The sequence below is a fragment of the Homo sapiens genome, chromosome 2 (genome assembly GCF_000001405.40).
Source record: "Homo sapiens chromosome 2, GRCh38.p14 Primary Assembly".
In the NCBI taxonomy this organism is placed as follows: Eukaryota; Metazoa; Chordata; class Mammalia; order Primates; family Hominidae; genus Homo; species Homo sapiens.
Genome location: NC_000002.12, coordinates 45,186,874 through 45,213,829, shown reverse-complemented (window position 1 = coordinate 45,213,829; position 26,956 = coordinate 45,186,874). Strand labels below are relative to the sequence as shown.

At 42.3% G+C, this 26,956-nt stretch overlaps 2 long non-coding RNA genes across 2 annotated transcripts in view, besides 1 other annotated feature; one reads left to right on the top strand and one right to left on the bottom strand.

Annotated features, from left to right (window-relative positions):
- Positions 1 to 26,956, top strand: part of LINC01121 (long intergenic non-protein coding RNA 1121) — an 80,601-nt gene that overhangs the window by 41,112 nt on the left and 12,533 nt on the right. Inside the window, exons 2-4 of the long non-coding RNA NR_033831.1 lie at positions 21,545 to 21,690; positions 22,746 to 22,947; positions 24,581 to 24,709. This is a non-coding gene — a long non-coding RNA (long intergenic non-protein coding RNA 1121). The remainder of the gene's footprint in view (positions 1 to 21,544; positions 21,691 to 22,745; positions 22,948 to 24,580; positions 24,710 to 26,956) is intronic.
- Positions 2,157 to 6,408, bottom strand: LOC105374576 (uncharacterized). Its single transcript, XR_940041.2, has 3 exons — positions 6,040 to 6,408; positions 4,709 to 4,956; positions 2,157 to 4,417 (listed from the first exon to the last, which is right to left on the bottom strand). It is a non-coding gene; the product is annotated as an uncharacterized LOC105374576 (long non-coding RNA).
- Positions 22,821 to 23,325: an enhancer, noted in NCBI's record as "H3K4me1 hESC enhancer chr2:45417644-45418148 (GRCh37/hg19 assembly coordinates)". NCBI's record gives its function as "activates a minimal SCP1, AML or CMV promoter by ChIP-STARR-seq in primed H9 embryonic stem cells {active_cell/tissue: H9 hESC(primed)}" and the evidence as "EXISTENCE:reporter gene assay evidence [ECO:0000049][PMID:30033119]".

The window sequence follows — 26,956 nt, the reverse complement described above, 5'->3', positions numbered from 1 at the left end:
TAAGTGCCAGAGCTAATATTTTAACTTGAACCCCCAGGCTGTCTGACTAGAGCCTGCATTCTTAACCTACCTCTCCTGGCTCTGCAGACATGGTCTCTGCCTTGGGGCAGCCAAGGGCCAGCGTGGTAGTAGGGGGAAGGGGAAGGGGCCAGCTATGGCCAAATGGGGCCACAGGAGAACACAGAAGTCAAATCATTTTCCTCAGGGTGACCTGGATTTGATTATTTGTTCATTTTCACTCAGGTTTTCAAAAACAAAAAAAAATCCTTTCAAAAAAAGCTGTTGGACAAATGCTGAAACTCTGACTTGCCTGCCCCTGCTTAGCAGCCGTCATTGGAATCAGCGGAAGGCTCTGGCTGGCTGCTTCTGATCAGGCCTGCCAGCCTCCTGGGCTGGCTGAGGACACTCACAGCGGGAGCAGGTTCCTTAAGACAAGCCCCCTTCGCTGGCCCTGGCTTGCTCCCTCCTCTCTCCCTGTCTGTTTCCACCTCTGTGTCCCCTTCCCTTGGACTGCCTCAGGAAAAGGAAGAACAAAGTTTTTTTTAAAAAAAGAAGTTTAATGAAACCACACACTTGTATTTCCAACTATTGACATTGGATTTGTGCTTCTCCAGCTCTGCCATTTGGGACAAGTCTTTCTCCTCCTCTCTTCACCCGATGGTGTAATGCAAACAGACCATAAAAAAATAAACTTTCCCCTCAAATATTATCTTAGGCCTCATTTTATCATGCTTCCTTGAGCTGTCTCTGTAAAAGGGAAGAAAAAAGAATGTGGGTTTTAGTTTGCACCAGGCTGGATGGAGAGGGCCCTGTAGCTGGGTCTTCCCAGTGTGGACTCTCTCCTTTGGCTTGTGGTCTCCTTCCCAGAGCACTCAGTGGCTGTTCCATTTCCATTTGTGCCTCACCTAGGTCCCCCACATCAATTCTCCAGTTCTTGTCCATTCACCTGAAAAATGGGCTAATAACACCTACCTACAAGGTTCTGCAACACAAAGGGACTCAGAACACAGGGCGGGTACAATGCAAGGGGAGGCGGTGGGCTCTGATCTAACTGCAGAGAATATGCCCCTGCCTAAATGCAGTCTTGCTCCACTTAAAAGCAAAACAAACAACAAGTGAAAACACTCTGTGATGGCCAAAACAAAACATTGCAAGGTGAGTTTGGGCTTGAAGCTACCTGTTTTGAACTCCACAGGGACTAAGTGAGACAATATTTGAGAGAGAGGCCTTAAAATCCACATTCCCTAGAGTGGACAATGCCCACAATTTACCTCCTAAGGTGAGTGAGCATGAGGACCTTCCCTCCATGAAGGTGGGCTCTGACGGGGTGGGGAGATGGGAAGAAAAACTGAGATTCACAGGGCCTGGAATGATCTCTCAGGAGGTCAAAGGACCTGGGGAGAGAAGGCTGGGCCAATCGAGGCCAGGTTGACCTTTACAACAGTTTTGCCACATTCAGATCTTAGCAACTAGTACATGTATGTGACAAAGCTTTGAATTCTGAAGAAACAAACAAACAAAAAAATCAAGCATTTACCCTGATGGTCCCATTTGAACTGCATCATTGGTAACCAGAGTGGAACAGGAGACATTTCAAATTGGAATTTTGCCATTCTGTAACCCCAAATAAATGAACACCTATGGTTATTATTAAAATAATAATTATTTTAAAGATGATTACACTTTCTGGAGAACAAAGGCACCACCACCTATGACGTTGTCTTGCCAAAAATAATCAAACCCACATTGGATCAAGCCTATAGATCCAACTAGCAATTTACAGGAAATACAGGGGCCAGAGGAACACATCAATGGCACCGTGGGGGTACAAGTGGCAAAATCTATGCTGTGGGAAACTCTACCAATGATCTAGTTCTTGTAACACATACATTCACAAGGGGAAAGGAGTGTGGTAAAGGGGAAGTCTGTACATTAAAAGAGACTTTAAAATATTTAAAAAGTAAAACTAAACCACAATGTTGAAGGATGCACATGTGGACTGATAATGGCATGAGGAAAGGAAGGAGGGTGTTTCCATAAGAGGCAAGTAAGTGGTCGCCTCTTGAGGGCAAAGAGGGAGGGGTGAGGAAACAGTCTCATTTTCTATTGCTTATAAAAGAATACCTGAAACCGGGTAATTTACAAAGAAAAGGAATTTATTTCTTACAGTTATGGAGGCTGAGAAGTTCAAGGTCAAGTTACCACGTCTGGCGAGAGACATTCTTGATGGTAGGCACTTTCTGCAGAGTCCTAAACTGGTACAGAGCATTGCATGGCAAGGGGGCTGAGTGCTAGCTCAGGTCTCTCTTCCTCTTCTTATAAACCACGAGTCCCACTCCCATGATAGTCCATTAATCTATTAATCCATAAATGGATAACCTTCATTTTTTAATAATTTATTAAGCTATACATTTATTTTCTGTGTCTGTGCTAATTTTTTTTTTATCATATAAAGATTTTTTAAGTACATGCCCCTGATTCTTCCTCTCCTCCTACCCCTACAAATTTGGAGCCCTTTTACTATCAGCTGCCAATTTCTGAGTTCTAAATTCTGCCCAGCTCCCTATCCTCCTTTTCCTAGATTACCTCCTGATGATATTTTATATCAATCATAACGAGTTGCTATGCTACAGAAACAAATAACCCCAAGATCTCAGTGGCTTAAAACAAAGGTTTACTTCTTGCTTATGCTACATGTCCATCATATCTCAGCAGGGGGCCTCTGCTCACCTTTGTTGCTCAGAGACTTAGGCTAACAGAGCAGCCACCTCCTCCGATATCCTCAGGGGCTAGGACACGACTGACTGTCCATCAAATGGTTTGGCACGGAACTGACACATGTAACTTCTGCTCACAATCCATTGGCTAGACTGGTCACGTGGAACCGTCCAACCACAAGGAGGAGGAAGTGCTGTGCTGTGAATGTGCCCAAAAGTATTTGGTTGGTACACATTAATAAGCAGTCCTTGCTTTTTATGGCACTGATGTGCACAAGTTTCAGTTTAGCGAAATAATACCCGTTCCCAAAAACTAGTTCAAATTTCAGTCACCACAGTATATATTAACTATAATTGCATAAAGTACAAACTTCACTGCCTGCTTGCCAGTCCGCAAATCATGATATAAACAACAGATGCACATCATGATGAACCAATCACATCACTTCTTTCAAAGCCTGTCCTTGATTAGTCATTGCATATCTGTTACTCAGTTCATGCCCAGACAGCAAAATGTGAAGTTGTGTTGCCTCCTTGTCTTCCAGTGATAAATCCATGTGATGAAAATTTTACAAAAAATGGATCACTGGATAGAGGGTAAGCTAACAAAAATAAAAATGCAACAAAGAAACAAAAAGTGATAATGCCGGCAGTAAACTGGATGTGATTAGATTGAAGATGTGAAATTGGCAAGAGCAGAGCAAAGACTGGATGCACCATGGCCTGCATGGAGCTATGGAACAAACTGCACTGGAAAAATCCAATGTGTATTAAAAGCAAGGTAACGTTGCTTCATCTCTTAGTTTAAATTGCAATAGGACCAGAAAGCTGCTTATGCTTGGAGAGTTTTCTACTTTGGATTGAAGACTGTAATATTTCAAAATCCGAAGTAGTTTGGCTTGCATCCTGGCCAAAGCATTGATCTTAGTTGCCACATTGAAAGAAAATGGTAATTACAAGGATACTGAAGAAGAATATTTTACTGCCAGTAAAGGCTTGTTTCCTCATTCCAGAATTTAGCATGAATTGATTGATGTCAAGCTAGTGATGAAGCTGCTAGCACATGTAAGCATGCAGCTGGGAAATCTGCATCCAGATTCCAAGAAAATGAAGATGTGCCAGTGGAAGTGGCACTGGCAAAAAACTTCACCTTCAAGGAATTCTTATAGATATTTTGTAACATTGCAAGAGCAAAGGATAAAACATTAGGACCTGACTTAGAACTAGACTACACTTACAACAAAGTACGACAATTCACCAAGGCATAGAAAAGTTGCTCCAGCTGTATCATAAGCTATACAGTAAGGGGAGAAAGGCAAGAACTGTGCAAACTACTTTTGATATGTTCTTTACAAAGAAATAAAACACCTTAATTCTCAATGTTTCTAATGTTTTAAATTACAGTGTAATAAATAAATATTAGTTTTGTTAATTTTTCATTTCCCCATGCATTTATAAACAACAGTAAGAGAATGTTTAATGTTTTGACAAAAATGTTTAAAGGTCACAGAACAACTGTAATTATTCCCTTCGATTAAGATTGCTTTGCAGGGTTTCAGCTTACACAGTCATTTTTATGGTCTTGCATTACTATGCAAAATAAGGACTTCCCGTATACATAACTGGTTTATGTGGAGTTAGATTCCAATTTCCGCACGTCTATCTGCGCCAACTCACTTGCATGGAGTGTGAGAAAACTCCTGGAAAAAATAATTTGAACCATAGGGTTAGGCAGGAATAGGGATTCCAGGTATAGTTTGGAGGCTATTAAACCCTAACCTGATCCAGCCACCTTGATGGCCTATGTGTGGCCCTCAGTGGAAAAGAGCTTTGTAGATAAAATGAGCCCAACTGCACCCATATAGAGCCCACCACTCTGCTGTGGGATCCAGAGAGAAGAATGTCTATGCAAAGGGATGATTTTTTCATTTACTGTACGGAGGTGGGGTGTATAGATATATCAAGCTACAACCGAAATAAAGACTCAAAACCTGGTTTGGGCTGAGCATCCATGGGACCTCCCGGAGCCATCTGGGCCTTCTGACAATGGTGAAGCTCGCAGAACCTATCTGATGCCCAAGAGCAGCAGTGTTGGTGGGAGCATCTGCTCTGGGGAGCAGAGAGGAGGCCATCAACACTGTGGTATAAGCAGCAGCCTCAGAAGAGGGTGGAGAGCAGTGGCCAAGCAGCAGTGTGATCTGTTGAGGATGTGTGGGCTCCAGATGGTCGCTCAGGTGTTCTGGGGAGAAAGCAGGGTAGGGTCAGTGTGGAGAGCTCTTGCAAGGGGGCTGAGGTTCTGGAGTTATATTTAGTGGGAGCTCTAAGCTCAGGAAATTTACACTACATCAATGTACTATTTTTTCATGCTGGCAGTGAGGCCTGGGAACATTAGGGCTGTTTATATAGGTAGGGTGGCTATATAATTTATTGTTCAAACTGTGGATATTTTAAAAGTAAAAAGCATTGCTATTAATAATAATTAAATCTCTTGGTAATGAAAGTCACAAGAGGATTGTCCCAGGCAAACCAGTCTGTATGGTCATCTTAGTTATGGATGCAATCCAGGTAATTGTAAATTAGAGGTCAAATCAGAATTAGTAAAAACGAGTGAATTTGCTGGTGTTGCTGCAACTGGCGGTGCAGGCAGAGCTCCCTGGAGTGGACTCTGAGATAGAGATGAGTGTGCAGGATACTAACTAGAGAGTGTACCCAGGATCAACATCTGTGGAAGAGAAGGGAGAAAAACAGGATTGGACAAAAGGAGATGCTGGAATGTCCTGCAGTCTCATCAAAGGCCTTAGCTGACCCCATGGGGAACTCTGGGCCCGGATGACCTGCAGAGCTGCCCCAAGTTGGGGTGAGGCAGATGGGCCTCCATTCTCCATGTCAACCAGTCATTGGATTTGGTTGCCCCAAGAGCTCTCTCCAGCTGAGGGCAGATTTCAGAGAGCGCTGACAGGTGGCAGGACTCCCAAAAGTCCTGAAGAGAGGTCAGGGTGTTATATCACAGCATCCACAGCCCTAAAGGAGCGGAGGGTTTGAATTAAAAATATTTGTATTTTACTTAAAGGTATGTACTTTAAGGTCAGTCATTAGTCAAATCCTGCCAGAGATCCTGCTGCGTCTGTTTTGAAAAAGAGATGAGAGTCGATGGAATTAGCATACTAGATGCTTATATGCAAATGGTATTACCAAAAAGGGGGACCTGGTCTCTCAAATCAGTAAAATAGCACCAGTCTTCTTGGTACGACTTTGAAAACTTTTTCCCTAGGTAAACTTCTCCCCAACTCTATTTGGTGATATCTCTATTTAAGATACCTACGTCAGGCTTACTATGTTCCAGGCACAGTGTGAAGCACCACGGAAGTATTAATCCACTTCATTCTCATAACAAAACTATGAAGTAGGCATTACAGACAAGGAAACAGAGACCCCCGAGGCCAGGTCATCTGCCTCAAGTGGTGGTGCCAGCATGTGGACCCAAGTATCACATCTCCGGAGACTCTGCTTTTCATCATGCCACACTGGCTCTCTGGTCCACCATTTAATTTAGTAGGTACAATATCACTGCAATAAAATGTAACGAGTATCCATTAAGCTCCTGTCAGTTGCCATGTTCAATCTTTGAAGAAAATAAAAATCTCTGGGGTGATACAAAGAAGTAAAATAATAATAACAGAAACATCTAATGTGTTGAGGTTTGACTGTGCCAGGGACTGTACTAGCAGCCATCCACACAGCACACCTCTTTACTATGCAGAATACTTCTTGCTGGCCTTGAAGGAGATTCTTATCTAATTGGGAAGTGAGATCGGAAACAGTTACATAACCATATGCAAGGCACGTGTGATTAAGCGCCCCTATGTGCAAGACAGGCTGCCACTTGGCAAAGTGGTCAGAGAGAGACAGTCTGGGTTCAGATCTAGGGGACTTAGAAACTCTGAAAAAAATTATAGGGCACCCTTCCACGTCATTAAAAATAAGTGATACTATAAACAACAAAATTATAGTAAAGAAGTCCAAGAAAGTTCATGTCTTTCCCATTATGATTATTTCAGTACTTTTAAAGGAAAATTTCTGAGAACAAATTCTTGCCAAACAATACTTGTAGTTGCTCATGCTTTGCTGGTGTAAACTCTAGGGTGATCTTCAGTTAGTGTAATCCAGCCCTGAAGAAAGAAGAGCTTTCTCTGGACCCATCAAGTCAGAATGCTTCGTGGACCTCCAAGACAGTGGGATTAAGAAAGGGGAGAAATGAGGAAAGGTTATGCTCAGAGGGAGGAACAGGGAGGAACTGAGAACATTGGCTTCGCTGAAGCACAGGGAATGTGCAAGGGTGCACCTAGGTTGGGCAGATGGATTAGGGCCAAATTTAAAGGCCTTGATTTCCTGATTATTACGGGCTTGTAATATGTCCCATAAGCCATGGGAATCTATGGGAGGGTACTGCAATGTTGTCCCTGCCATTGTCTCTCCTTCTGCTAATCTGAACACCCAGGCAGCCAAGGTGCTCAAAGATCTCTGGAGCAGACAGAGCTCCAAGCAGAAGGGGTCTGGGATCCTTGGCCACCCGACAGGCAGCTCGCCTATACTGTGGCTCTGACACTGCAGTTACTGTAAACTTAGGGACTTCCTTATTGCTCAGTTGCCCTTCCAAGGGGACCTTATCAACTATAGGTTTTGGGCAGCTGCCTAGAGTTGAGGGCTGACCCTAAGGGCCCTAGGCCTCCCTCTATCCTACTGCCCAACCATTCTTCCGTGATCTTGCAAACAGCATTCCATCGGGTATAAGTGCTTCAGCCATCTTGGTTTCATCTTTCCCTCCACCCTCTGCTGAACTATTAAAGCATTTTATTCCACAAACAAATCTGATCTTACAACCGCTCTGACCTGAAGCTTGCTGTGAGGCAGAAGAATGGGAGGAATGCACTGGGATCAGTGTTACTGCGGGTGCATTGGAAGAGAAGGGCCAGGGCTTGGCTGTAGCATCAGATACTGGAGGCAGACCCAAATTCGTAAAGACCCAAGGCAGCAAGGCCATGTCTCAGGCTCTCTTTCTCCCAGGAACAACAGGATCATGATCGAAGTTCGGGAAGGCGCTTCACAGAGTTTTTCCCCTCTGTCAAGGAGTTTAAGCTGCTGGTTTGAATTTCTGCCCTATGAAGAATTTCCGGATTATTGGTGGGGCTTTCTTTTTCTGAAGAAAAATTTCAAACATTGTTTTTCTACCTTAGTTTTATGCATTCAGGTCAAAGCTTCTGGCTCCTCTTTTTGGTAGAATGAAATATCCCAACCTGGCTGAATTCAGGATGGAAATGTTTGTGGAAATTTTGGCCTGGCCCTGCTAAGAGGAGCATGTGGCTAGAGAGGCCCCAAAAACCCAGAGGAACTGGCTACCAACCACCAGCGGGCTTGGTCATGTGTGCATCTGTCCAGACAGCAATTTTTCCTCCCTGGCTTTAGTTCATGCTTTCTGGTTTCACATTATGTTCTTGTCCCTCAAGACCTTCCCAGCCCTTTCCGTGAAGGCTTCCACAAGCTCCTCCAGGCCACAGTGGCTTGTCTCTGCTCCTACAAGAGACAGACCATGTACAGTATGACCCAGGACTTGGCTGAACGTTCTCGATGCTTACCAGTGAGACTCCTTTCCTTATGAAGATGGAAAGCTTGCTGAAGGCAAAGAGCATGTTTTGTCAGCATTGGGCTAGTATGTAGTGTAGGTGCATAAGATATAATTATACTGATTAAAAGATGGGTCAGCCAAGGCCTTTCCCCAGGATGTTGATCTAATACACACACACACACACACACACACACACACACACACACACACGATGGAAAACATATTTACTGGATTCTTCCCGGAGACTGTGAAGGGGAAGCATTAAACTCTGATCTATCTCATGAGAAGCAAAGTGTGGCTGCGAGAGATGCTCAAGGACTCCCGATAGATAGTTGCAACACATTTTTTCCCGAGGGGTTGGCAAGTTTCGCCCAGAGCCAAACTGGTCAAGAAGACAGAATGAAGACTTAGCTACTCTTTCCCTTCACCAGGCAAAGCTCAGCATGACCTTTAAATGCATGTGCCCAGATTTGTTTGAAGAGAATTGTCTTTAGTCTGTTTTAGCTGCTATAACAAAATACCATAAACTGGGTAGTTTATAAACAGAAGAAATTTATTTCTTACAGTTCTGGAGGCTGGGAAGTTCAAGATCAATGCATGAGCATATTTGGTGTATGGTTATGTCGAATAGGAGCGGTGAAAGTGGGCATCATTGTCTTGTTCTAGTTCTTAGAGGAAAGGCTTTTGGCTTTTCCCCATTCAGTATGATGTTAGCTGTGTGTTTGTCACACATGGCCTTTATTATGTTGAGGTATGTTCCTCCTATGCCTAATTTGTTGTTAGTTTTTATCATGAAGGGATGTTGAATTTTATGAAAATCATTTTTCTGCATCTACTGAGATGGTGGTTTTTGTCCTTAATTCTGTGGATGTGATGTATCACATTTATTGATTTGTAAATGTTGAATGAGCCTGGCATCCCTGGGATAAATTCCACTTAATCATTATGTATTATCTTTTTGATGTGCTGTTGGATTTGGTTTGCAAGTGTTTTGTTGAGAACTTGTGCATCTGTGTTCATCAGGATATTGGCCTGCAGTTTTCTTTTTTTGTTGTTGTGTCTGTGTCTGGTTTTGGTATGAGGATAATGCTAGCCTTGTAGAATGAATTAGGGAGAATTCATTCCTCTTCAATTTTTTTGGAATAGTTTGAGGAGAATTGGTGTTAGTTCCTCTTTATAAGTTTGGTAGAATAAAGCAACGAAGCTATCCAGTCCTGGACTTTTCTTTGTTGGGAGATTTTTTCATTACTCCTATTGGTTTATTCAGGTTTTCTGTTACTTCCAGATTCCATCTTGGTAAGTTGCATGTGTCCAGGAATTTTTCCATTTGCTCTAGATTTTCCAGTTTGTTATCTTGTAGTTGTTCATAATAGTCTTTGAGGGTTTTTTTTTTTGTATTCTGCAGTATCAGTTGTAATGTCACCTTATTCATTTCTGGTTTATTTTATTTTTTTGAGTCTTCTTTTTTCTTGGTTAGTATAGTTCAGTTTATTAATTTTGTTCATCTTTTCAAAAAACAACTTTTGTTTTGGTGGTCCTTTTTTTAGTCTCTATTTCATTTAGTTCTGCTCTAATCTTTATTATTTCTTTCTTCATACAAATTTAGGGTTTGGTTTGTTCTTGCTCTTCTAGTTCTTTGACATGCATCATTGGGTTATTTATTTGACATCTTTCTATTTTTTTATGTAGGTATTTATTGCTATAAACCTCCTTCTTAGCACTGCTTGCTGTATCTCACAGGTTTTGATATGTTATGTTTCCATTTTCATTTATTTAAAGAATTTTTTAAATTTTCTTTATAATTTCTTCCTTGACCCATTGGTTGTTCAGGAGCATGTTGTTTAATTTCCATGTATTTGTACAGGTTCCAAAGTTCCACTTTGTTATTGATTTCTAGTTTTGTTCTACTATCATCTGAAAAAACACTAGATATGACTTTGATGTTTAGGAGAATTTTTGAGACTTATTTTCTGGCATAACATATGGTCTATCCTGGAGACTGTTCCATGTGCTGATGAGAAGAATGTGTATTCTGCAACTGTTGAATAAATTGTTCTGTAGATGTCTGTTAGGTCCATTTGGTTTAAAGTACAGTTTAAATCCAATGTTTCTTGGTTGATTTTCTGTTGAGATCATCTGTCTAATGCTGAGCGTGGGGTGTTGAAGTTCCCAACTGTTATTGTATTAGAATCTATCTCCCCCTTTTGATCTGATAAGATTTGCTTTCTGTATCTGGGTGCTCTGGTATTGGGTGCATATATATTTAGGATTATTCAATCCTCTTGCTGAATTAATCTATTTATCATTATATAAATGACCTTCTTTATTTCTTTTTACTATTTTTGACTTAAAGTCTGTTTTATCTGATGTAGGTATAGCTATACCTGCCTGGTTTTGGTTTCTATTTGCATGAAATATCATTTTCTCTCCTTTCACTTTCAGACTATATGTGTCTTTACAGGTGAAGTGAGTTCCTTGTAGCATATAGTTGGGTCATGCCTTTTAAAATTTTAATCCATTCGGCCAGTCTGTATCTTTTTGGTAGAATGTTTTATGCTTTTACATTCAAGGTTATGGTTGACATTTGAGGACTGATTTCTGTCATTTTGTTGTTTTCTGGCTGTTTTGTATAAACATTGTTCCTTTCCCTCATTGTTTATCAATATGGTTTGGTGTATTTTTTGTAGTGGTAACATTTGAATTCTTTCTCTTCCTCATTTGTATGTTTGCTCTACCAGTGAGTTTTATACTTCTGTGTGCTTTCATGACGGTAGGTATTGTTCTTCTGCTTCCAGGTGATGGGCTCCCTTGAATATTTCTTGTAGGGCTGGTCTATGATTTCCCTCAGTTTTGCTTATCTGGAAAATATGTTATTTCTCCTTTATTTTTGAAGGGAAACTTTGCTGAGTATAGTATTCTTAGCTACTAATGGTTTTCCTTCAGCACTTTGAATATATCATCCCATTCTCTCCTAGGCTTTTACTGAGCAATACACTCTTATATGTGACTAGATGCTCTTCTTTTGCTGTTTTTAGAATTCTTCCTTTGTCTTTGACTTTTGACAATTGACTATATGTGCTTTGGAGAAGACCTTTTGGGGTTGTATCTATTTGGGATTCCATGAGCTTCCTGTATCTGGATGTCTAAATTTCTTGATAGACTTAGAAAGTTTTCAGGTATTGTTTTGTTAAATAGGTTTTCTGAGCCTTTGTCCATCTCTTCTCCCTGAGAAAATCCCCAAACATGAATATTTGGTCACTTTATAGTGTTGCTTCATATATCAATACTCTTTCTTCATTCTCTTTTATTCTTCCCCGACTTTTTTATTTGGCAGGGGAGGGGTCTGATTGGATTATTTCAAAAGCCCTGTCTTCAAGATCAGAAATTCTTTCTTCTACTCGATCTAGTCTATTTTTGAAGCTCTTGATCGTATTTTTTATTTCATTCATTGAATTCTAGGATTTCTATTTGGTTCTTTTTTATATCTATATCTTTGGTGAATTTCTTATTCATATCTTGAGTTGTTTTTCTGCTTTCTTGGTACTATTTGTGTTTCTTGTATCTCACTGAGCTTCTCTAATATCATTATTTTGAATTCTTTTCTAGGCATTTTATATATTTCTTTTTCACTGGAATCTGTTGCTGGAGAATTATTGTGTTCCTTTGGAAGTGTCATATTTCCTTGCTGTTTCTGTTTCCTGTGCCATTACATTGATATCTGTGCATCTGGTGTAATAATAATTTCTTCCAATTTTTTGAATTGGCTCTCATGGGGAAGACTCTTTCTTATAGATGTATCTCTGGTGTTGGTTGGGTAGAGTACATTAGCTTTGGTTCTGGGTGCATGCAGGTGTGTATTCTCTGTATGATTTCTTTGGCTGTAAGCAGTGTCAGTGATGTCTGTGATTTCCTCAGTGGCTTCGGCTGTGGTTGTTAGCAGAGGCCGTGGTGAGGCTTTGCCAGAGACTGAGGTGCCAGGTAGGCCAGCTCTCAGGCCCCAGTAGTGACAGTAGTGGGCCAAATGTGTCTGTCCTTGAGCTCCCAGGTGGTATACATGGACACCACTGTTAGTGGGCCCAAGTGGGCTGATTCTTGGGCTTTCAGACAGCATATTCAGTTGCCATTAGTGGCAGTGGTGAGCCAGGCAGATGGGAAGGTCCTCCGTCCCCTGGGCACCGTGCGATGGCAATAACAGTGGTGGAACAATCCTGACATTCCCAGGTAGAAGGTGCTGGTGTTAGTAGTGGCAGTGATGGACTGGGTCGGCCAGTCTCTAGGGCCCCAGGTAGCATGTGTGAGTTGGTGCCAGCTGTGGTGGCAGGCTGGGTGGGCCCATCCTCAGGCCCTAGGAGGAATGCACAGATCCCTGCAGTGGTGGATGGGGCGAGGTGATTCCCAGATCCCCAGGAAGCATGCTTGGGCACTGAGAGGGGTGGTGCCAAGTGGGATGGGCCTGTCCCTAGGCCTGCATGGGTGCAGGCTGTGATGGGCAGGGTGGGGAAATGCCCCATCCCCAGGTAAAGTGCCTGGATGGTGGCAGCAATGGTGGCAGTGGGTAGAGAGAGCCTGTCCTCAGGGTATGTGTAAGTGTGCTGCAGCCCTGCTGCTGGGGGTTGGGGTTGCTATCAGAGGCAGTGCCCCCAGGCAGGTGACTGTCATGTGCTGGAGAGCATGACATTCAGCTCCCTTTGTCCTGGGGTAGCCTCCCCAGTGTGCTGCAACGTGCAGGACACTGGGTGTGCTAGAGTGTTGGTGCTCCTGTCATATTGCTGGGTCCAGCTGGAATCATGCCACTGCAGTCCTCTGGGTGGATGAAGGAGGATGTCAGTGAGGCTCTAGGGATGTGAAGACACAGGAGCTGTTGGACCCCAGGACAGGATGCAGTCTGATGGGGGCTGGGCTCTCAAAATGTTGTTGTGCTGCAGCTCTTTGGTCTTAGGGGTATATGAACTCACCCAACAGAAGATCCCTCTCTGGAGCAATGCCACTGCATGGATTCCAGGCAGCTCCATATACTGGCCTCAGGGCCTGCAATGAGTCTTTATTGAAACCCACTATGTGCCTAGTCCCAAGGGAAGCACTGTAGGAAGGAAAAAAGCAGAGGCAGGAATGGCAGGAAAGGGCCCACACTGTGGATTTCAGCCCTACACCCTGCTCATCCCTCCCTGTGCAAGCTCTCACTGAGGTGTAAGCTCTTGCCTAACTGCATTCACTGTAGCATAGCCCCTGGAGTGATACCAGTCACATGGACAACCCTTGTTTTCAGCAAGAACGAGTTATCAAGATTGAGCTAGCAAATCTTCAGGGAAGACAGCCTGGTCCTAACTTCTGTCATAACATTTTTCTTTGGTGATGAAGCATCACTGGGTTTGTTGAAAGCTCATTCAGTGTTGCTAACGCTTAAGCGCTCAGGCATCCCTCAGGTCCAAGCGGAGGATTAGGGTGGGGAGCAGCAGGCAGTTCTTGGCTAATTAGCTCAGAGGCACAGCTGTGCTGTTGAAGTCTATGCTCCCTACACTGTAACTTACAAGTAGAGTTGTATGAGAATACTGTGCATAAAACTGTAGATGCTGGAGTCAGACTGCCCTGAGTTCATTTCTAGACTCTGCCATTTGCTGGCTATGGGATCTGGGCAAGCCTGTTTTTAAGCTATTAATAAAGTAATACTTTGCTCCCTGCTTAACTTGGATAAAGTCCAATTTATCTTATTCTCTTTTGTAAATTATGTTTTTGGTTTTGTACCCAAGAAATATGGCCCAAGATGTCTTAGTCCAATTTGTGTTGCTATAACAGAATACATGAGATTTAGTAATTTATAAAGAAGAGAAATTTACTTCTTATAGTTCTTAAGTCCAAGATCAAGGCAACAACAGGTTTGGTGTCTGGTGAAGGCCTGGTTTCCACTTCCAAGATGGTGCCTTGAACACTGCATCCTCCAGAGAAAGGAACATTTTTCCTCACATGGCAGAAGAGTGGAAAAGCAAAGGGAGAGAACCTACCCACAAAGGCCCTTTTCCAGAGACATTAAACCCATCTATGAGGGTGGAGCCCTCATGGCCCAATCACCTCTTAAAGGCCCACATCCCAATACCATTACATTGGCAATAAAATTTCAATCTGAGTTTTGAAGAGAATACACATTAAAACCATAACACAAGGTCACAAACAATTTATCCTATATTTCCTTCTAGATATTGTATAGTCTAAGATTTATATTTAGGTCTATGATCTATTTTTAGTTTTGAATATGCTACAAGGTAAGGAGGGTAGAGAGAGGTTCCGTCTCTCTTTTTGCCTTTTTCCTTCCTTTCATCTTTCTTTCTTTCTTTTTTTGAGTATATGAACATGTAATTGTTCCAGTACCATTTATTGAAAAGAACATTCTTTCTTCATTGAATTGTCCCTGCACCTTTGTGGAAAGCCCATCAATAGTATATTTATGGATCTATTTTAGGACCCTCTATTCTGTTCTACTGATCTACACATCTGTTCTTCGGTCAAGAAGACTATCAACTTTGTCTTTCCTTATAAAAAATATATTGGTAATCCTAGGTCATTTGTACTTTCATATACATTTTATAATGGACTTTTAATTGGTACAAAGAGAGCCTACTAAAATTTCGCATTGAATCTATAGACAAATTTGGGGAGAACTGACATCTTGACAACATGGAGTCTTGTAATCCATGAACACAGTATATTTCTCCATATATTTATGTCTTCTTCGATTTATTTCAGCAATATTTTGTCATTTTTTAGTGTATAGGTCTTGCACATCTTTTGTTAAATTTATTCCTAAATATTTTTGTCATTCTTGTAAATTAATGGTTTTCAATTTCTTTTTCTAATTTTTTGCTGCAAATTAATAAAATATAAAATCAATTTTTATATATTCACCGTGTAACATGTGACCTTGCTAAATTCATTTGTTAGTTCTAATTGTAGTTGTGTAGATTCTTTAGAACTGTTTATACAAAAAATTATCACCTGCAAATAGACACAATTTTACTTCTATCTTTCTGATCTTTAAAAGCTTTATTTCTTTTTCTTGCCTTAGTGTAATGGCTAGGACTGATGGTACAATGTTGCATAGAAGTCATAAGAGTGGGCATCCTTGCCTTGTTTCCAAACTTGCTGGGAAACTGTTCCATATTTCATCATTAAAGATGCCCTTTATCAGGTTGAAGAAGTTCTTTTCTGTGCTAGATTGCTGAGAGTTTTTATTATGAACATATATTAAATGTGGTCAAATACTTTTTCTGCATCCATTGAAATGATTGTATGGCTTTTCTACTTTATTCTCTTAATGTGGTATATTATATTGATTAATTTTTTGAATATTAAACCAACCTTGTATTCCCAGGATAAATCTCCCTTGGTCATGATGTTTTATTCCTTTTTATATATTGTTGGATTTAATCTGCTGATATTTTGTTATAAATTTTAGCATCTATGTTCATGAGGGATGTTGGCCTGCAGTGTTCCCTTTTGCAATGTCTTTGTCGTGCTTTGGTATTAGAGTTTTGCTGGTACCATAAACCAAATTGGGACGTGTACCCTGTCCTCCTCTAATTTTTAAGAGTTTGTGTAAGTTTGAAGTTATCTCTTCTTTAAATGTTTCATAAAATTTACCAGTGAAATTACCCGGGCCTATAATTCAGATTCTCTATTTCATCTTGTGTAAATTTTGATGATTTATATTTATATAAATTTGTCCATTTCAACTATTTTGCAGAAATTATTGGTATAAAGTTCCTTATACTGTTCTTATATTCTCTTTTTAACATTTTAATGTCTGTGATTTCTGTGGTGATAAGTCCTCTTTCATTCCTGATATTAGTAATTTTTGTTCTCCATTTTTCTTACAAAGTCTGACAAAATTTACCAGTTTTCGTATTCTTTACAAAGAACTAACTTTAGGGTTTACTCGTTTTTTAAATTACTTATCTGTTTCTTATTACACTGACTTCTGCTCTTTATTATTTTCTTTGTTTTACTTACTTTGGTTTACTTTGGATTTGAGGAGGAATTTTAAATCACTGAATTTAAACCTTTCTTCTTTTCTAATGTAAGAATTCAAAGCCATAAAACTCCCTCTAATCACTGTTTTAGTTTATGTTGTAGTTTCCCTATCATTAAGTTTTAAATATTTTATCATTTCTCTGTGGTTTCTTCTTTCATCTATGGATTATTTAGAAGTGCAATATATTTATTTGGATTTGTCCTAGATAACTTGTTTTAATTGATTATTTGGATTTGTTCTGGATAACTTATTTTAATTGATTCCTAATTTAATTACATTGTGATCAGAGGATCTATCCTACTATTATTTCAATCCTATAATTTATTTTAGGATTTGTCTTATAGCCTGGGATATGGTCCTTGTTGGTGAGTATGTACAGCTGGAAAAAATGTTTATTCTCCAGTTGCTGGGTATTGTGTTCTGTAAACATCAGTTAGGCTAGGGTGTTGATATGGCTGCTCAGATTCTCTATGACTTTACTGAATTTTTGTCCTGCAGCCTACCAATTGCAGGGAGAGTATTCAAATATCCCACAATAATTGTAAAATGTTCTATTTCTTCTTTTATTCTGTCAAGTTTTGCTTTATGTATCTTGAGGATCTATTCTTAGGCACATATACATTTATGATTATGTCTTCCTTATTAATTGACTCTTTGTTTTTAAAGCTCATCTCCTCTAGTCAGCATATAGTTGGATCTTGCTTTTTAAAGAACAGTCTATTCTGGTAATCTCTGCCTTTTAATTGGAATATTTTGTCCACTACCATTTAACGTAGTTATTAATATGATTGTATTAAGACTGTATTTCTTTTTAGTTGTCCACTTTGTTTTTAGTTCCTCTGTTCTCCCTTCCTACCTTTTTCAATTGAATACATTTTATAATTTTGTTTTAACTTTTTTATTTGTTAGATTTTTAGATACATCACATTGGATTCATTTTTAAATGGCTGATCTGATTATCACACAAACATCCTTCTATTTTCACAGTATATTTAGTTAATATTGCATTTCTTCACATAAAATGTAGAAACCTTGAAACAGTGTAAGTCCATATTCCACTCCCTCACCACCACTGATAGTCCATAGTCATTTGAGTCATGGCCCTGTAAGTGATCGGTCATTTTTCTCTGGGTACTTGCAAGATTTTCTCCTTATCTTTGGTTTTTAGGAATTTAATTATGATGTGCCTAGATAGGATTTTATTCAAAATTATCCTGTTTGGAGTTCCCCGTGCTTTTGGATCTATAATTTATGTCTTTCAACAAATTCCAAAGTTTTTCAGCCAGTATGTTCTCAGATATATTTTCTGCCCCATTATCTTTGTTGTCTGCATCTGGGACTGTAATTAACTGCATATGGAACATTTGGATATTGTCCCACATGTCCCTGAAGCTTGTTCATTTTTTCAACCTTTTTTTTCCTCTTGTCTTTAGATTAGATAATTTCTATTGATCAATCTTCTAGCTCACACACTCAGCCATTCATTAGGAGCGTGGATTTACATTCTACCAGGCCTGTTTTCTGTTTAAATTTGAGGCCACAGCTTAGGTGTTAAAAAACAATAGGAGTTTATCATGATAAGATTTAAGAGTTTAATAGAAGTTAAAAGTTTCAAGTTAAGAGTTTAATAGAAGTTAAACTTTTAAAACTAAGAGTTTAATAGAAGTTAAACTTTTAAAACTATTTAAGAGTTTAATAGAAGTGTAAAATACAATGGAAGTTTATAATGATAAGATTTATTATTATTAACCATGTAATACCATGATTTCAAATATAACATGATTCAAAATCTATCCTCACCTTGACTTCTCTTTAAAGGAAAGGCTGAGATTTGGCAGTGAGTTTGTAACTAGGAGCTAGGGATCTGGTTAGGAGACAGACACTCAAGCAGAGAGTGTACAACATGGTGTGAGCAGGTGCAAAACTCCAGACGTGAACAAAGCACCATGGGAGCACAGAGGTGCACATTGCTGCCACTACCCCAGGAATCAGGAAAAGCCTTCAGAGAGTTGGTATTTTATTAGAAAATTTAGATAGCAAGAAAAGCCAGGCTTTGCCAAAAAGAAAGAAGAACATTCTAAGTAGAAGGGCTCTGGGAAAGTCCTGTCATAGTTTGGGAAGAGGGGAAAAAGGGAAGTATTTGGGGGACATGAGCATCATGTCCCCCCAAAAGGGCAGTGATGGCATAGGAGGTCAGAAGAATAGCGTGTGTCAGGCTGCCCTGCACTGAAGACCAAGCAGAGAAGGAGTATGTTCTTGTTGCATCATATGAACATACTGGTGGTGAGGAGTGGGGCTCCTCCTTTATCCTGTGAAGAATAAAATAAGCTCTTTGCTCTCAAAGAACTCTCAAACTGCCTAAAAAAACAAATCAACCTACATGAAACAAAACGAGGCAGAACACTCACCACCATTCCAATTCTGGCCACCATCTCTCACTTCAGCTGCAATACCCTCCGAAGGGTCTCCCTGTTATTACCTTTGCCCACTTCCAGTTCATTTCCATATTTGCAGAAAATCACCTTCTTAAGACAAAAATCAGAATATGCTCATCCATTGTTAAAAATCCATTCAGTGGCTTCTCACTACATGTAGAATGTTCTGTGTCCACGCTACTGCCCAACCTCACTCATCACGCTTAGTCACAACAGCTTTCTGGCTGATCCCAGTCAGGCCACACTCTCATGGGCGTTAGAGCTTTGTGTTGCCTGTTTCATCTGTCACTGTTGGCACTTTCCTCCCAGCTCTCCATGGGGCTGGCTCCTTCTCTGCCTTTAGATCTAGCATAACTCTCCTCCTCAGACAAACCTTCCCATTAAAGCCCACTCTAATGCTCAATTTATTCCATTCAAAGCATTAACAGTTTGTGGCCCTTTCATTTATTTGTTTACCTGATTCATGTCTACCTCCCTTACTGGGATTTAAATGACAATGGCAAGAACTTTGTCTGTCTTGTTCTTCATTAAATCCCCAATGCCTAGTATAATGCCCAGAATATAGTACTCAACAATACATGTGAATAAATGGTTAAAACTCAATGCTAAGGTGGTGTTATCTACTCTGTGTGTCACAGAGCAGGGAAATGAGTGGGGGTAAAGGATCAAAACAGGGAGAGAAAACCCTATTCGAAGCAGGTGGCCCTAGTTGCCACATGATCTTGCTATGGGTTTTGTAGCTCCTTAGGGAGAAGGAGTAGCTTTGCCTGTGAAAATGATGCTTTGGGTATGACATCCAGCTCTCCTGTTTCCCAGGCACACTCTGTTATGCACAATTCAGGATTCCACACTCTCTAGAAGGCCCCTTGGATGCAAGCTCATTCTCCCTTCCCCTCTTCTTGCTTCTAAGCCATGGGATCATTTTGAAGAACTTGCATGCTCCATCTACAACCCAACTCCTAGGAGAGGAAACCAATTCTGTTTCCTGGGAGTTTACTTCTTACTCTTGAAGACAAGAATAAGAGAAAGGAAGTCATTCTTGAATCATTGAGTTGCTTTCTTTAAAAAACCATTGTTATTTGTAAAACTGGAATACATTTTTTTGAGCTCTCCTGTCTGAAGCCCAGGCTGAGAAATGTAATTAGAAAATGCACACTTACCAAGAGTTGGAAGCCTGGGAGAGTGCCTTCATCCATCCATCCAGTGCACTGGATAGGGAGAGATATAAACAGAGCACGTGGTGTTGGCGTGCACTTTTATTGAGTGAGATGTGATGTTCAGAAAGTCTACAGCACATACGTACCCAAGTGGAAATTCCTTCAGTAACAGTGCATTAAACAATCCAGCCCTCTCTTCCCACACACCCCCACCCTACCACCTCCCTCCCATCCCCCGCCCCCAGACCCTTTGCTCTTTCATATACATGGTTTTAGAAGAGCATCTCTCCAGGGCTGGGTCAGGGTAGGGTATCACTTTTTTGAACCCCTCAGGGAATGTTTGCAGTATTTTGCTATTTTCTCTGCTGGATGCACTTATGGTAACACCACGGAGGCCCACTCTACCCTGGTGCCTCCTTGGTTTGCAGGGCTCAAGTTAGATGCCAAGTCTCTTAGAATATTAAAATATGACCCACTCCTCCCTCCTGCTTCCTTCTGCCTTCCTTTCTCTTCTCCAAGCAAGTGCTTATCTACAATCTATTGGTAAAGGGTTACTCCCTGGAATGGTGAATTTCTCTTTCTGAATGTGTTCTCCCTGCCTCGGGTTCCCTGGGTCTTTGGCATGAAGAGTACGTGTCAAGGGCAGATCAAGGCAGCTGGGTCAGAGGCAGCTGTGCCCGTCCAGCCAATTTCCAAGCTGCCTGGCTTTGTGCCTGGTGGGTCTCAGAGCAGTTTAGATGACAATGTGGGTAGCTCCAGAAAGCATTGGCCGTGGTCTTGCAAGGGGCAACAGAGCTCTGGAGGCCCTTCTGAAACAGGCCAGGAAGCCCTCCCTAGGTCTCACACTGGACAGTAGTGACAGAGGCAGAACCATCACTGAATAAATGTCACAAAGGTCTGCTACTGCACATCAGTGTAGTTACAAGACCTACAAATGAACTTGCAGGAGAAGAGCCCCCTCCATGCCTATCTGCCTCCCACTCCCCACCTCCCACCAGGCAAATGATCCAATGATGCTGATATGGTTTGGCTCTGTGTCCCCTCTCAAATCCCATCTTGTCGCTCCCATAATTCCCATGTGTTGTGGGAGGGACCCAATGGGAGATAAATGAATCATGGGGGCGGGTCTTTCCTGTGCTGTTCTCGTGATAGTGAATAAGTCTCACAAGATCTGATGGTTTTAAAAAGGAAGTTTCCCTACACAAGCTCTCTTCTCTTGTCTGCCACCATGTGAGGCATGACTTTCTTTCACCTTCTGCCATGATTGTGAGACCTGCCCCAGCCACATGGAACTGTAAGTTCATTAAACCTCTTAAATTGCCCAGCCTTGGGTAGTCTTTATCAGCAGCATAAGAACGAACTAATACAGACGCCTCTCTGAAATTTTAGAGGTTTGTATTATTGCTAGGAAAATTAGAAAAAATAACCAATCTTCCCTTTCCAGATTCCTCCTGCGAGTGGACTGCATGAGGAGATGTCTGTAAGAAATTGTGGGTAGATACCTCAGACAGAAAAAAAAAAAGTGCACTTTAAATTGACAAATCAGTCCAAACCACGAAGGTTATAACTTTTTTTTTTTTCCTTTCCAGAAGAACAGTAAAACAGACTTGTTATTGGCAGCCCATTAGTGCTCAGGAGAGGCGGTCTCCAGCATGACATCAGCCGGCGGCTCGACCCAAATCTAGTATTTCACCAGAGAGCCTAACGCTGCTGGCTTTCCAACTGTGTGGAAGACGTAAGTGGGGGAGAGGGAAGAAGGCATAAATAAGATACAGACTGGAGACTTTTTGATGTGTTTAGCACATTTTTGTGATTTCCTTTAATACGATAGGCCTTGCATAATCTCCCATTAGGAGAACAAAAGACAAGCCTGAGATGGGATGGAGAATGGGTGGAGAGGGGGATCCATTCCATAAAAAGTTCACTTTGAGTAATTAGCATTTTTAATCCAAATACTTAAAAGGGGAGGCGAATTGGGAAGAGAAGAATGAATACAGCCGAGTGACTGCAGATATAAAAAGTCCCTTCATTAATTCGGTTGTTTTTTAATTCCTAATTGAACTTAAATAAAGAGGACCTAGAGGCAGCTGTTTCTAATATCGAGTCCCCACCGCACATGAAAGACGCATTTATTCCTGCAGCAGCCTCCCTACCCTTGGGTGTTATCAGCTGAACATGTTTTGAACCTACCTAATGCATTTGAGGTAGCTTGGGTTTATTTTTCTTTCAATAAAATAAATGGTTTTGTAATTAAATTTCTGCACTGCCTGTGCTTAATGGTTACATTGACAAGTGCTAATGTATGGCAAGAGAATGAGTTTGAAATGAAACATGCTGTTTTTGAATCTGCAAGCAATTTTGCAGTGGGGCAATCAAACCCCTCATGCCAGCGAAACGTTTTCATTAATCTGCTCACTCCGCCCCTGCCCACTCTGGCCGGGCAAGGACACTTTTTAGCTTCCCCTTTGCCCACCCCCCACCCTTGCCTTTTTCTAAACACACACACTCACGCACACATGCGCGCGCACACACACAAATAGCATGAAGCGAGCCGTTGTTTGAAACCATTTTGTGGTCCCTGGCTGGCAGGCCTGTGGAAATTCGCTGACTTTACACCGTGAAATGTTGCAGCTGTCTCTCTTCTCCAAAAGGAAGGCCTGCCTCCATGTTTCAATCCCTGGCAGTGAGTCAGTAAGAAAATCTGTCCTTCTGTTTTCCCTTTTTTTTTTTTTTTTTTTTAACTTTCCTCCCCCCTTAGCTAAATTTATTTTTGAATAAATCTTCTCATAGAAAATAGCGAACAGCTATTACATATCTGGACTCGGTCTGCGCAAACCACTTCAAGCCACAGCAAAGGAGGCGGCCTTCCAGCCTTGAGCCTGTAGAAGGTTCATGAATGGAAACCTGGATGGATGGGTTGTGGTCTTGGCCGCTCCACTTCTGCCTGCAGCCCAGGAGGGGGGCCCTGTGTCTCCTGCTCAGGCCTGCACAGGTACAGATGAGGGACACAAGACTCTTGGCTCTTTCTCTGCCCCTTCCCTGGAAGCCTCCGTTTCATCTGACCGCTAGAGGGATGGCTTCCCAGGGTGGCGGCTGTCTGGAGCCTGCGAGGCCCCTTCATCAAAGGCCAAGAAGCGGGTATGAGGTCTGGAGCTGACTGGGGCATGGGGAGATGGAGAGCAACAGGGGAGCCCCTGGTTCCGTGGCTGCCCACAAGGTGTGCGACTCAGCATTTTCTCCCTAGGCTGGGGGAGAAGAGCCAGAGGGCTGACCACATGAGTGCTGACTCACCCTTGGGACAGGCCAGAATCACAGGCTGTCCTCCCCTCCGCATGGCTCCCTCTTGCTGCTTTTAGGATGGTATTTGGGGGAAGGGCTTCTGTGTGGTCCTGGCCACCCTGAATTTATTGCAGGGCAAGATAGAGGAGAGAGACAGTTGCTTATGGCATTCAAGGAGCAGGAGGAAGGATCTCAGCCCCTCAGAACTCCCCTGCCCATTTCCTAAGTCCTGAGTTGCCTTTCCTAGGGGACGACGCCTTTCATTTTATCATTCAAAAAGAAGCTTGGATGCAGAAGTCCTTGGGAAGCAGACATAGGGACTGAGGTCTCCACTTAGGTGTACGTGAAGGGCAAGGCAAAGCCCATCATGAAAGGGAGAAAGAAAAAGAACTTGGGTTAGCTGTTCTTGCACTGCTATAAAGAAAAACCTGAGACTGGGTAATTTACAGAGAAAAGAGGTTTAATTGACTCATGGTTCCACAGGCTGTACAGGAAGCAGAGCAGCTTCTGCCTCTGGGGAGGCCTCAGGAAGCTTCCAATCATGGCAAAAGGTGAAGGGGGAGTGAGGCTTCTACATGGTGAAAGCAGGAGCAAGAGAGAGTGAGTGGGGAAGTGCTGCACACTTTTAAACAGCCAGCTCTTGTGAGAACTCACTCACTATCTTGAGAACAGCATCAAGAGGACGGTGCTAAACCATCGTGAGGAAGCCACCCCCATGATCCATCACCTCCCGCCAGGCACCACCTCCAACACTAGGGACTACAATTCAACATGAGATTTGGTGGGGACACAGATCCAAACCATTTCAGCTAGTATCTGAACGATAGGAGGGGAAATCTTGGCCAGGGCAGAGGGCGAAGAAGTAGGGGAACAAGTGTTAGGGGTAACAGACAACTTCACAGCAGCCCTGTGAAGGGTGCAAAGTTCCTCTTTTAAACGGCTGCAGATTAATGAAAGTCGAGACTTAATCTTATCCAGAGTAAAGGGGCAGAGAGGTCTATGCCCCAGGAGGAAGCATGGACAGCAGTGGGGAAGGGAAGCCGGGGGGCTGCTCTGTGGGCCTTGGCAGGGTCTTGACTGTGCTCCTGATAAAACTGAGCTATTAATATGTGAAAGCGCTATGATCTACCACTCAGCATACCACGAAAGTTGTCATAGTTACTACACCCATGAAACAGTGGAGTACTTCATTCATTCATTCAGCAAAATAATAATCTCGCTTCTCACATTCATTCATTCATTCAGCAAATAATTTCACTTCTCACATTCATTCATTCAGTCAGTCAGCAAATAATAAGTTGCCACTATCAAATAATAGTAAGATCCATGTTGCTGGGCTCTTTCAGGATACAGGCGTAACAAAGACAAGGATGAAATAAGTCCTGTGATGGAGAGACAAGCAAAATTCTACCTGACTTCACAGGAGGAAGAAGTGTGCTGTGCCAGGGGGAACAGGAGAAAGCTTCATGGAAGAGGTGAGCCTTACAAGCCACGTAGGATTTCAAAAGGGGAGGATAATGTTCCGAGGCAAGGAACCAGCAAAACACTGAGGAATAAAAGTAAAAATTGTATCTGGGGAATGATGAGTGGTCCCAAATGAATGGAGGAGAAAGTTAAGCACCTGTGGGGTGTGTGTGGGGTGTGTATGTGTTTGTGTGAGTGTGTTGGTGGGAGTGGAAAGTGGAATTAGGAGTTTTGAGATGCTTTGTTTTGCAAACCGCAGATAACCCTTAAAGGTGTTGGAGACTTGTGGATGGAGTGAGTGGTGATGCAACCCAACCTATATATTCATAATTGACCCTGTAAGCCATAAAAAGGACAAGCTGAGAAGGGATGATATTAGAGGCAGGAGGACCAGAGGCTACTTCAGTAGCCCAGGTCAGAGAGGAGGAGGACTGGCAAGGCAGAGGCAGTGTTCCTGGAGGGAGGGGATAGATGCTGGGGACCCTGCAGAGGTCAGGGGCAGCCAGTCAGGTGTGGTGGGAGGAAGGGAAGTGCTCTCTTCGGGGTGCCTGAGAAGGTGACCATGGGCAGGACAGAGACTGGCAACTCTGAGAGAGAAATGGATTTGGGGAAAGAGAAAAGAAAACACTAGTTACAATTGGATACATGGAGTTGGAGTTGTTGGTGGTGACTGTCATGAAGGAGTACCCAGGGAAGAGTAAACAGATAGATGGAACAAAACAGGAGGAAGGCAGAACTCTGAGGAATGCCCACATCTAGGGGAGCCAGTGCAACAGACAACATGGAACGGCAGGGTTAGTAGGAGACGGGCCATGAGGAAAAGGGAGGGAAGTTCCAAGAAGAAAGGCTGGAAGGTATTTCTGATGCTTCAAGGAGACCCAAGAAGGGGAGATGGTGAGGCAGTTGGGTTGGGCAATAAAGAAGTTGAGCAGGGTGTGGGAAGTAGAGGCAGAAAGATTTTGCACCTGGCTTTAAAGAAGTTTCACCATGATGACTGCATGGAAAGTTTTTTTTGGGTGATGGGCCCTTGAGCAATATTCAAGGATAAATAATAAGGAGGGAGAGATTGAAAGGCACCCAAGAGGGGACTCTGATGGAGCAGGATCATGGGAGGGGCAGGAAGGGGTGGAGCAGGTGGGCTTGCAAAGCAGCAGGAAGAAGGTGCGATAGACCAGAGAACAGTTAAGGTAAAGACAAGGGGGAGCGAGGGTGCAGGCAGCCTGCCGGGGAAGGAAACAATGAGATCCTATGCTGAGAGTGAGGGCTGGGGATGAAGGTGATGGGAAGAGAGAAGTGGCTTGGAAATTTGAGGCAGGGAGGACACGGAACAGAAAGTCAGGCAGGAATGAATAATAGGGCATTGAGAAGCTGAAGATGGAAGCCCGGCTCTGCAACATCCTCGTCTGCACAGTCATGACATTTGCTCCAGCCTTTCTGGGCAGTCTGGAAGCAGAAGCAGAAGCAAAGAACCCAGTGGCGGGAATCCTCCAGCTATGGCCAGCACTGCAGCCACAGTGGACAGCCAGAGACACAGGACCTTAGCGGATGATCGGAGAGAATTTTACAGCAGGAAGCCTTTTTGTTGATATGGGTGACCTTCACCTCCAAGACCGGTACAGCCTTGTCTTGGGTTAAATTTGGAGACCAAATGTGAAAAAGTTTTACATAAAAAATATATACCGGCCAGGCACGGTGGCTCACACCTGTAATCCCAGCACTTTGGGAGGCTGAGGCAGGCAGATCACGAGCTCAGGAGATCGAGACCATCCTGACTAATACGGTGAAACCCCATCTCTACTAAAAATACAAAAAATTAGCTAGGTGTGGTGGCAGGTGCCTGTAGTCCCAGCTACTCAGGAAGCTGAGGCAGGAGAATGGTGTGAACCTGGGAGGCGGAGCTTGCAGTGAGCCAAGATTGCGCCACTGCACTCCAGCCTGGGTGACAAAGCGAGACTCCATCTCAAAAATAAAATAAAATAAAATAAAAATTAAAATTAAAATAAATATATAATATATATGTGTATATACATATTATATAATATATATACATACGTATATATACATATACACCTCTCCCAGAAAGAATTGTGAACCAGGAATGAGAACAAATTCCTGTTGTAGAAGAAGTTGTTTTTCTTCTTTCCTTTGGCTTTCCTGTGCTGTGTGATCCAAGCAGATGACTTAAACTTTTTACCTATTCCTCCTATCTGCCTGCCTCTGGGCCACATTCTGCTGATTTACTAACTTTCTGGAAAGAA